Source organism: Homo sapiens, chromosome 11 (assembly GCF_000001405.40).
Source record: "Homo sapiens chromosome 11, GRCh38.p14 Primary Assembly".
In the NCBI taxonomy this organism is placed as follows: domain Eukaryota; kingdom Metazoa; phylum Chordata; class Mammalia; order Primates; family Hominidae; genus Homo; species Homo sapiens.
This window is the reverse complement of record NC_000011.10, coordinates 32,425,669-32,434,643: the sequence shown is the minus strand read 5'-3', so window position 1 is coordinate 32,434,643 and position 8,975 is coordinate 32,425,669. Positions and strand designations below refer to the sequence as shown.

Below are 8,975 nucleotides of genomic sequence, written 5' to 3'. Positions count from 1 at the left end.
GCTCTAGGACACCCCCCTCTCCTACCCCTTTTGACCGCAGCTCTTACCCAGCTGCTTCCCAAGGGCCGTGAGGATAGCGGAAGCGGCGGCTGGGGAGGAGGCCGGAGAGTGGGAGTGCACGCAGGCACTGGCCCCCGACATCCTCCAAAGCCAGGCAGAGCTAGGAGCCTGACTGTTCGCAAGAGCCGGGAGGGCGTCTGGGGCCCCTTAGAGTCCGAGAGATTCCGGGACTGCTAGTCCCCACGGGAGTGGAACCAGGAGACCGGCGCAGTGTCTGGCTCTGCCTTGGGGAGAGTTTTGTTAATTAAGGAAACGCCAAATTGTCACCAAGCGTAGCGCTTTTCAGACGTCTGGACTCTGGATTCGGAGTGGGACCAGCGCGGGGGTGAGCGCCTGTGCTGTGCTGCCTCCGCAGCGCTAAAATGTCCAGGAGCACCTCCAGCCCTTATAATACGGTGTTGGCACACACTTAGGTGCACATTAAGTATCGTAGAGAACTAGAATGAGCACATGCACCTCCAGTAACTAAATGGCTTTCTGGAACAGCGTCGTGTCCGTGGATAGCTCCCGCGTATGGTAATACAGAAGTGGATCTTCACTGGGCTTCGCTCAGGCGGCGGCCACGCAGGTTCTGGGGATGGAAGAGAACTTGACTTATCCGAGTCCAAGCTATGCGGGACCAGGTTCTACCGCAGGCAGTGGAAGGAGGCACGAGCTTTGGCCTTTCTTTCAGCGCATCTGGGGCGCCTCTTCATCTTGTAAACGCGGGGCTCAGCTGGGACAGTATTTCTTCAAGACCTGGGGTTAGAACAAGGACAGGGTTATTCGCTGTGCTTAGTCAGGATACAAGGAGGGAACTCGGCACACGATAAGTATCAGGTTGGTTTCTCATCCCGCGCCGATGCCCGCCCACCTCTCTTTCGCCTGGGCGGCGCGGACCCGAACCTGCGGAGCCCCTGTAGTTTGCCCTCTTCATTTATTTTCAGTGGATTTCCACGCTATTGAGAACCTAAGCCAGTTCGGTTTGATTCGGTAATTTAGTAAACGCTTTACTAATACAATGGCGGATGCTTTTCCTGGAGCAAAATTACTCGAGGGCCTAGGGACCGGGATGTTTTTGGAATGCGTGGGAAGCAGAGTGTATCTTTTGCAGGAGGTACCTTCGCCCAAGGCTCGGGAGAAGGGCTCTGCCCTTGTTGCCCGCCTTCACCCGCGCCTTCTAAACGCGCGTCTTCAGGCCGCTCCTACCTTAGCCTAACCAGGAGCACCCGGCCCCCGCGAAGCCTTGGAGAAATCGAAACCGCCCTTTTCTTCGGGAGAATCTGGGATCACTGTCCTGTGGAGGAACCGCAAGCAGACCCAAGGGTTGCCTCCACTCTATGCTTTTAGTTAGTGAAATTAGTGTTTTGTACTCAAGGGGCGTTGGGACAACTTACTGGTCGCTGAGGCTTGTGTTCTTTGATCAGATCGCGCCACCTTTGTTTAGCAGGCTGGTGTTACTTTTGGGGAGTTTCTAGGTCTCAGTGTCCCCGTCTATAAGAGGACAGCTGAGATGGGCAACCTGGAGATTGGGTCCGGCTTGAAGTTATACTCCATAGATGCAGAAGCGCTACCCACCACCCTCTTGGGGCTTTAAATATGGAACTCGGCAACCCATCTAAACATCTGTGACTGAGAAACAATGAATCCGAGAGCACTGTCTGCATGTGTGCTATTTGGAGGCGGTTGAGAAACCATCGAATCCATGCCCCTGGGGCACAAAATACTACTACGCCATTATCTTTTTAGTACTTCTAGGGGATTTTTGAAACCTGGGTTCTGTCGCTTCGTTTGGGTCCCTTGTCCAGCCCTTTTCAGGGCAGGTCTGGTGCCTGGGATCTTATCACATGTCGTGGGGGGTGGGACTGTGGGTTTTGCAGCCAGCAGGCATTACACTTCTGGAAAATATCTGGATTCTTCTGTAATATACAGGCGTGGCTGCCATGGAGAAAAAGTTAAAAGGGGACCAGGACTAGTAGGTGAATGTATCCTTCTTCTCCACCCTGGAGAAAAAGCCCAATGGAGAGAGGGCCCTAGATTCAAGTCATATAGCCTGGAAGCACCATCTCCAGGTTTAAGTTTTGTCTTGCAGTGAAAACAGATGGGTCCATCTTACCCAGCCCTTGAGGCTCATTGGGCAGCTTGGATGTGAGAAGCGCTCCGGCTGCTATCCTGGAGTGGGCAAGGGTGGCCCTCGAGATTCTGGGTTTATTCTTTGGATTTCCAGGGTTCCTGCTGCTTCCCCAGGAATGCAGGGCCTGGCCCAAGACTTGGGCTGTGAGAGGCAAGGGCATCAACTCTCAAAAATGTGGAAATGGCCATCAGAGCGCCAAGGCCAAACCCCAGGGGAGAGGAATCAAGGCCGTCTCTGGATCCCTAGGGCAGTCTAGCCATGGTGCACAGGCAGGGGCAATTGTTGGTACCCACTCACAACCGCCCAAAACTTCACAAGCATGTTCATATTTTAAATTCTTAAATATTATATCTTGCATCCTAATCTTGTAAACATTAATTTAGCAAACATCAATCGCCTACTTGGTCAGGCACTGGGTTCTGAATATTAATTAAGACAATGGCCTCGAGAACCTTTGCAAGAAGCTCACCAGCTAATCCTGGAGAGGCCCCTTGTTTTGGATGAGGAAATCCAGGTTCTATGAGATTAGGTGGCAGAGGTGGGATTTGAACCCAGACCATGCTAGGGTGTTTCTACTCCTTTTCCAGGGATCTTGGCCCCACCGTTGAGATGGATTTCTTCTGGCCTGCGGGAGGGGCACCAAACTCTTAGTCCATGTGTGGGGGTTGACGGGTTTGTGAGGGCAGATGTGGGGTGAGGACTTGAGTAGCCCCAGACTAGATGCAAGGCTTAAGGAGGAGGGGAAAAAAGCTTGCTTGGGCCGGACGCGGTGGCTCGAGGCGGTTGGATCACCTGAGGTCAGGAGTTTGAGACCAGCCTGGCCAACACGGTGAAACCCTGTCTCTACTGAAAATACAAAAAAAAAAATTGGCCGGGCTTGGTGACGGGCGCCTATAATCCCAGCTACTCGGGAGGCTGAGGCACAAGAATCGTTTGAACCCGGGAGGCTGAGGTTGAAGTGAGCTGAGATCGCGCCACTGCACTGCAGCCTGGGCGACAGAGCGAAACTCCGTCTCGGAAAAAAAAAAAAAAAAAAGAGGTTGCCTGCTAGTCCACTGATCCCGCAGCCCCGCAGGCTCGCAGAACCCTAAGGCATGATTAGGCCTGGGATCATCAGGCCACCCTAGGGTCAGGTGCGGAGGCCTGCGACGCCCGAGGGCCAAAGGCTCCCTCTTCCGGTCACACAGGAGAGGGTATTTTGTTGGGGGACAGGTTTTCCCCAATCACAGTGCAGCTGCAGTCATCGTTTTCAGCCTTCTGAGCACCTTCCTGGCTGAGCCTGCTGTCCATTTCACCCCTCAGCTCTCACGGCCCGGCCAGGCCAGGCGGTTCCCGGCTTCTCTGCAGCCGCCGGCGGGGGAGGAGGGCACAGAGCGCGTCTCGCCTCTTAGCGCACGGTCAAGGTTGCGCTCCCCTCCCGGGCCGGGACTAACCGTGGGAAAGGCGCTACCTTGGCCACTCGATTCTCTCCCTCCAAGGCCTGTACAAGGAGCCTTTGAACACGCTGCTCCTTCCAGCCGGCAGCTTTACCTCCCCTGGCCCCTGCCCCCGCACTCTCCGCGCCAGGCCAAGCGCTGGGCCCAGGGACAGCGCGCTCTAATCAAACCCGTGTCCGATAAGCTTCTAATTAAAAGAGACCTCCCTCCGCTCCGCAGGCGCTTTCACCACTGCCCCTCCCGGGGGGACCTGAAGGAGAGGGTTTGAGGCCGGTCTTTGCCCGCCGAGGTCTGCGTGTCCGGTCTGGGAGGAGGCCTAGGAGGGCTCGCGGGCCACGGGCATCCTTGGGCCCGAGTTCTGGGGTGCGGACGGACGTCTCGAGAGTGGGTGCCGCGACTCGGGACCCACGGCCCTCGCCGGGCACGGACAGTTGCGGAGCAGGGCTCTGAGGATTGTGCAGTGCCCTGGGTCCCTGCCTACTCCTGGGCTCAGGAATGGAGAAGGGTTCGTCTAGAGAAAACTTCTTCGTAGCTTCTATTTCGTCTCTCTCTCTCTCTCTCTCTCTCTCTCTCTCTCTCCCTCCCTCTCTCTCTCTCTCTCTGTGTCTGTCTCTCTTTCTCTCTCTCTCTTTTTAGTGTCCTTTCAGAAATTCGGCCTTCACTCCGGGCAATAGTGGGTGCCCTGAGCCAAATTTCGTTTGTAAGCTCATCTATAGGCCTCAAAGAAGGCCAGGCCTCAGGTTTCAAAAGGAAGTCTGTGGAAGCCCAAACGTGCTCGCCCATGCAGGAGAGCTAACGGGGCCGGGGGTTATCTTTGCCCACTTAGCAGGAGAGAAATGGAGGCCCTCGAGGTCATATGATAAAAGCTAGTGGCTTCTCAAATCCCCAGTGTGTGGTGCTGAGCAGTGTGTGAGACTTAAGCCTGGACCTGTACTATCCGGGAGTTAGGATTTGCCCCCTCCTTCCCTCCCTTGCACTCTGCCACACCACCCTCCAGGCTCATGCCTCTGTTGCCCCAGAGAAGCTTTTTTTTTTTCTTTTTCTTTTTTTTTTTTTCTGGGCGGGGGGTGGTGGTGTGTGTGCATGAGCGTCCGTGTGTGTTTCGAAAATGGAGGTAACGATGCCCTGGGTCCTGCTCATCGGCTGAGTCCTGCTTAAGTCTTTGGAGGCACTTTGGTCAAATAGTGCAAGAGTGGGAGAATGGGTGCTGTTTGACCCAATTTACTCCTGAGAATTTTGTGAAGTTTGGAGACCCAGGGCAGTCCTGGGCCAGGAGGATCTGAGGCTGCTGGGGTGGCCCTGCCAGGATCCCATAGGAGCAGCTCTCCTTAGCCATTGTGTCTGGACTTCAGGCCACAGACTCCGGAACTTGTAGAGGAATGAGACCCCATCCTTGGGTTCCGGGGCCAATGACGTATCTTTAGCCGAAGGATCCTTTTCCCCAGAGGCAGCAACAGCTTTCCAGAAGCTTGTGGGGTATAAGTTTAAAGCAATTTAATAACAAAAATTATAAAAGACTATGTTTTCCAACTGAGGCTCCACGCTCTTTTTCTCACTTTGGGGGGGGGGGGGAATGCTAGGATTTCCCTAGGGGGAAACTGAGGCAAAGGACCGAAGCACTACCATGGAGGGAAAGGGAGATACAGTGTCAGGCACACTCTAAAGGAAATTGGTTGTCCAGCCTGGGGAGTGAGGAAGTTGGCTCCTACAGCAGTGGTCAGGGTCGGACCCCTGGGCGCAAGGTGGGTCCCATAGGGGGGAGGAGGAGGAGAGCGCAGGGTCGCCATCTGAAGGCCCAACTGGAAGGGGCCCTTGTTTTCCCCCTCACCAGCTTTCCCTTGGGTGTCATGGTGTCAGGTCGGGTAGCCCCAGACAGATAACATTACTCGGTAATTACTCTTCCCATTTTTAAGACCAGGCCATTTAACTGGCTCCGAGTAATTAATGAAAGTTGGTGCGCGGGCCCCTGATTTACAGCTCGGAGTCAACGCGGGGTTAGCCCAGCAGATTCATTTCGCTTGCCCGCGCTGCTCCTGCGGAAGAGCTGCAGTTTATTTTTGGGGGGTGAACAACCTTCTCTGTCGATCAGGCAACGAGTTTTATACTTAATTTGCCAGGGGTTCGCTGCAGAAGCGGCAGAGACCGTAGAAGACTGCGGCATAAATAAATTGGGAAAAAGCGAGGTGGGGGTTTTAGTCAGAAAAGGATGGAGAAGCCTGTCCCAAGGTCACATCCAGGGACTTGGGCCGTCTTCCTGCCGAAAGTCCTGGAGGCTTGTGGGGCTGGATTCTCCTCCGCTGGGGGTCCGAATGCGGGGTTCAGCGCACACCCCCCCCGCCCGTGGCTGGTTCAGACCCACTGCCCCGTCTTGCGAGAGCACCGCTGACACTGTGCTTCTCTCCGCCGCTCCCGCAGGTTACAGCACGGTCACCTTCGACGGGACGCCCAGCTACGGTCACACGCCCTCGCACCATGCGGCGCAGTTCCCCAACCACTCATTCAAGCATGAGGATCCCATGGGCCAGCAGGGCTCGCTGGGTAAGCGAGCGGAACCAAGTGGAGTCCTTCTCCCCTTCTTCCGTGCTATCCTCCTCTCCCCCAGGAATTCCTAACCCACAGCAAATTAGGCAAAGGAGGACATCTAAAAGGACCTTAGAAATCATTACCCCAATGGCACTGTATTTAAAGGACAAGACTGGGTCTCCCTCCATCCCAAGTACGTTAGGGACATCGCCATCCAACTAAGTCTATGAATGTCCGGAGGGCCTTTTTGGTGCACAGCGCAGCGACTGCTAGGGGAATGCAAAGTGAGAGGCTTAGCTTCTTGCATTCTGGACGGCCTCGCTCTGCACGCCGCTCATCCAGGCCCCAGTGCCCCAGGCTCAGGATCTCGTGTCTCCCCCAACCCCTGCCCGCAGCCTCGCACCCCGAGCCCTTGGGGCGCACTCGCTCAGCTGTCTTCGGTTCTCTCTGCAGGTGAGCAGCAGTACTCGGTGCCGCCCCCGGTCTATGGCTGCCACACCCCCACCGACAGCTGCACCGGCAGCCAGGCTTTGCTGCTGAGGACGCCCTACAGCAGGTAGGAAGGCGCTGGGCTCTGCGTCTGGGTCCTTGGGACCCCGGAGGGGACGCATGAGCCGGCGGACTTGGGAACGCCCCAGCCGGGCAGCCCTGACTGCGGGCATGCAGGGTCTTGGAGGCACGAGACGCCTCGACTCCACTCTACTACTTAGAGGAAATTAAAGCTGATCTCCCTGGTCTCTGAGTTGTTCTTATGTTGTATAAAAATGAGGACAATTACTCTTTCGAGCTGAAGAAGGAGCGGCGCTCGAGAAGTTATTATTTTTAGAAGGTCTTTACTGGGAGGAATTTACCTTCATCGGGACTAAATATTAAACACGGAGTCCACTCCCACTCGGTTCTGAGACCTCAAACCCATCCAATGGCCACACCGGCCAGACTACCTCGAAGGCGCGTACCTTCGGCCACAGCCTTGGCCACAGCCTTCTCCCCACCTCAACCCTCCAGGGTTTCGACCCGTGGCAGCGCTTTGTGGACGTCGTTCCCAGCGCCCCTGCTACGCTCTGGGGTGGGCCCCCGGCCGGGGTGCAGGACGGAGATCGGGTCGCAACAGGGCCCTGCGGGGAGGCTGCTCTGGCCCGCGTGGGACCTTCTTCCTGTGAGCGGGAGGCCCAAGGCCAGCTTCATTCCCTTCCAAGCTTTTCCCCGCTCCGTGCTTCCTCTTCTCGCCTCTCGCTCCACCTTCTCTCCCCCAAATTTTTTCTTCAACTTTGGGTGAACTTGGCCGGCCGCCCGCGTCTGCGATAGGGTTGCCTAGTAACTGCGGCGCACACCAGCCCGCACGGGGCTGGAAGTTGGGGCGGGGGCCGGGGAGCAGCAGCGCGAGGCCTGTGCGGCCCGGGATTGGGCGCGCATGACCTCATAGCCCCCTCCTCCCTGGTGCTCGGGGATCCTGACACCGGCTGCCCCCAAACCCATCCCCATCCTCCCTCCCCTCCGCGCGGGGACCCGGGGCTGACGTCAAGGGAAGGAGGTAGTGAGGTCATGAAGGAAGGAAAAGCGCCTGCCCTGGGAGATTGGGTGGGGGAGTGGCCGCGCCTGGGGGACTGTCCAGTCCCGCAGGTGGAGGAGGGGCGGGAGTCCTCGATCCGGAGCGAGGCGCAGCCCCAGGCCCTTGCTGCCTTTACGAGAGTGAGCCCGGGGCTGGCCTGGCTCTCGCATCTAAGGTTCTCCTTCCCGGGAGTTTCTAGAGAGGTGCAGGGATGCGCCCCTTCTATTTCTAACGCCTGAGGCGCGCGGACTGGAGAAACCTTTTTTTTTCCTTTTTTTCCCCCGGAACATCCGGTTTATCTATTCGAAACTTGGATTCCTCATCACACTTTTTTTGGGCGGGTGGAGGCAGGCGGTGGGCAAGAACACCAATGGTCGCACCTCCCCATCCTTCTTTTTCTGCGTCCCTAGCTAGAAATCATTCCTGTTCTGCACCACAGGCGCGGCATGCTGCCCCAAGCCTGCCACCTCAGCGCCTCCCTTCGGTGGGTAAAGTCTTTGGAATGGGGGCAGGATTCGCACCTATTCTCTGAGGTGAATCTCCTTCCCTAGCAAAACTGGCAGCGGGGCCATTGCCATTCTTCTTGTGTAGCTGCTCCTGCCCATTGCCAGGGTGTCATTGCTGTTATTCTAGTAGCCATCAGGCGGGCTGTTGGAATGGTTCCCACGTAATGACCTTGGTCCACCCCTTCCTCCTTAGCTCCCTGTGGACTCAGTTGGTGTGTCACACTAGGCTGAGAGAAGACCTTGATGCGGGAGTGGGCACTGTCGATATGGGAGGTGTTCTTGGGGGTTGGGGACTGGAAGACCTTGCAGTCTGGTGCCTCAGTGACTCGAAGCTACACACACATCCGTTACTTCCCTCTCCCAAGCCGAGACTCACCCTGTGGGACCCTAGGAAGGGGTCCATCAGAGGACCTGGCAGCCTTGAAAGAGGAGTCCAGGAAAAAGCGATCATTACCACTGGTTTAATAGCAATTCTCCAGGGTGCCTATGGTGGATTTTGACTTAGGTCTGATTTTGTGGTTGCTAGGGAAGTAGGAAACATCACATAAATTTTCACGTTTTCTAATCCAGCTTCTGATTGGCCACTGTATTAAGCACTTCATCAAATTCACCTTTCAGAAGTATTTGTTTATTTCTATCTTCTTTCTTTATAATTGAGGAACTTTCTTTGGTCCTGTTATTTTTACACAAATCCAATAAAAATACTATTTTTCCCTCTCACAGAAAATTTCCCAAGTAGTAACATCTCAAAAAAGAATTTGTGACCCCTGTAGGAAGAGTTTGTTCCC

General features: G+C 55.7%; 1 protein-coding gene across 19 annotated transcripts in view, besides 18 other annotated features; it reads left to right on the top strand.

The window, feature by feature from the left end:
* Nucleotides 1-4,475: part of a biological region, named in NCBI's record as "WT1/WT1-AS bi-directional promoter region", that runs on past the window's edge. NCBI's record gives its function as "regulatory_interactions: LOC106707172 | WT1 | WT1-AS".
* Nucleotides 1-8,975, top strand: part of WT1 (WT1 transcription factor) — a 47,765-nt gene that overhangs the window by 896 nt on the left and 37,894 nt on the right. For 14 of the 19 annotated variants that reach the window (NR_176266.1, NR_160306.1, NM_001407048.1 and 11 more), the window contains exons 2-3: nucleotides 6,025-6,147; nucleotides 6,586-6,688. Coding sequence is in view for 17 of the 19 variants with exons in the window: in NM_001407048.1 (NP_001393977.1) it covers nucleotides 6,025-6,147; nucleotides 6,586-6,688 (226 nt within the window). In the remaining 2 variants the exon portion in view is untranslated. Of the gene's footprint in view, nucleotides 1-603; nucleotides 880-3,830; nucleotides 4,115-6,024; nucleotides 6,148-6,585; nucleotides 6,689-8,975 lie in introns of those variants that run through there. The other 5 variants (NM_001198552.2, NM_001198551.2, NM_001407050.1 and 2 more) reach the window with 3 other exon arrangements.
* Nucleotides 172-756: an enhancer, noted in NCBI's record as "H3K4me1 hESC enhancer chr11:32455434-32456018 (GRCh37/hg19 assembly coordinates)". NCBI's record gives its function as "activates a minimal SCP1, AML or CMV promoter by ChIP-STARR-seq in naive H9 embryonic stem cells {active_cell/tissue: H9 hESC(naive)}" and the evidence as "EXISTENCE:reporter gene assay evidence [ECO:0000049][PMID:30033119]".
* Nucleotides 560-1,760: a DNaseI hypersensitive site, noted in NCBI's record as "hypersensitive site X; the nucleotide coordinates are approximate for this feature". NCBI's record gives the evidence for it as "EXISTENCE:in vivo cleavage assay evidence [ECO:0001075][PMID:9407061]".
* Nucleotides 642-1,375: a promoter, noted in NCBI's record as "-647 to +87 WT1 antisense promoter". NCBI's record gives the evidence for it as "EXISTENCE:reporter gene assay evidence [ECO:0000049][PMID:7478583, PMID:10452544]".
* Nucleotides 899-920: a protein binding site, noted in NCBI's record as "-180 WT1 site". NCBI's record gives its function as "positive regulation of antisense promoter" and the evidence as "EXISTENCE:protein binding evidence [ECO:0000024][PMID:10452544]".
* Nucleotides 1,263-1,284: a protein binding site, noted in NCBI's record as "-544 WT1 site". NCBI's record gives its function as "positive regulation of antisense promoter" and the evidence as "EXISTENCE:protein binding evidence [ECO:0000024][PMID:10452544]".
* Nucleotides 1,327-1,464: a silencer, noted in NCBI's record as "134 nt Sau3AI fragment". NCBI's record gives its function as "bi-directional negative regulator of transcription; augmented by cytosine methylation" and the evidence as "EXISTENCE:reporter gene assay evidence [ECO:0000049][PMID:17210670]".
* Nucleotides 1,412-1,481: a protein binding site, noted in NCBI's record as "F2/F3 overlap region; blocked by cytosine methylation". NCBI's record gives its function as "blocks activity of silencer" and the evidence as "EXISTENCE:protein binding evidence [ECO:0000024][PMID:17210670]".
* Nucleotides 1,934-2,934: a DNaseI hypersensitive site, noted in NCBI's record as "hypersensitive site XI; the nucleotide coordinates are approximate for this feature". NCBI's record gives the evidence for it as "EXISTENCE:in vivo cleavage assay evidence [ECO:0001075][PMID:9407061]".
* Nucleotides 3,405-3,796: a promoter, noted in NCBI's record as "PvuII/HindIII fragment for promoter of AWT variant of WT1". NCBI's record gives the evidence for it as "EXISTENCE:reporter gene assay evidence [ECO:0000049][PMID:14681303]".
* Nucleotides 3,756-4,475: an enhancer, noted in NCBI's record as "H3K27ac-H3K4me1 hESC enhancer chr11:32451715-32452434 (GRCh37/hg19 assembly coordinates)". NCBI's record gives its function as "activates a minimal SCP1, AML or CMV promoter by ChIP-STARR-seq in naive H9 embryonic stem cells {active_cell/tissue: H9 hESC(naive)}" and the evidence as "EXISTENCE:reporter gene assay evidence [ECO:0000049][PMID:30033119]".
* Nucleotides 5,499-6,111: an enhancer, noted in NCBI's record as "H3K4me1 hESC enhancer chr11:32450079-32450691 (GRCh37/hg19 assembly coordinates)". NCBI's record gives its function as "activates a minimal SCP1, AML or CMV promoter by ChIP-STARR-seq in naive H9 embryonic stem cells {active_cell/tissue: H9 hESC(naive)}" and the evidence as "EXISTENCE:reporter gene assay evidence [ECO:0000049][PMID:30033119]".
* Nucleotides 6,112-6,726: an enhancer, noted in NCBI's record as "H3K27ac-H3K4me1 hESC enhancer chr11:32449464-32450078 (GRCh37/hg19 assembly coordinates)". NCBI's record gives its function as "activates a minimal SCP1, AML or CMV promoter by ChIP-STARR-seq in naive H9 embryonic stem cells {active_cell/tissue: H9 hESC(naive)}" and the evidence as "EXISTENCE:reporter gene assay evidence [ECO:0000049][PMID:30033119]".
* Nucleotides 7,126-7,783: a DNaseI hypersensitive site, noted in NCBI's record as "the nucleotide coordinates are approximate for this feature". NCBI's record gives the evidence for it as "EXISTENCE:in vivo cleavage assay evidence [ECO:0001075][PMID:9361007]".
* Nucleotides 7,126-8,975: part of a biological region, named in NCBI's record as "WT1 intron 3 regulatory region", that runs on past the window's edge. NCBI's record gives its function as "regulatory_interactions: LOC107982234 | WT1".
* Nucleotides 7,326-7,583: an enhancer, noted in NCBI's record as "258 bp HindIII/BamHI fragment". NCBI's record gives its function as "enhancer in hematopoietic cells" and the evidence as "EXISTENCE:reporter gene assay evidence [ECO:0000049][PMID:9361007]".
* Nucleotides 7,341-7,955: an enhancer, noted in NCBI's record as "H3K27ac-H3K4me1 hESC enhancer chr11:32448235-32448849 (GRCh37/hg19 assembly coordinates)". NCBI's record gives its function as "activates a minimal SCP1, AML or CMV promoter by ChIP-STARR-seq in naive and primed H9 embryonic stem cells {active_cell/tissue: H9 hESC(naive and primed)}" and the evidence as "EXISTENCE:reporter gene assay evidence [ECO:0000049][PMID:30033119]".
* Nucleotides 7,416-7,445: a protein binding site, noted in NCBI's record as "GATA-A". NCBI's record gives its function as "required for enhancer activity" and the evidence as "EXISTENCE:protein binding evidence [ECO:0000024][PMID:9361007]".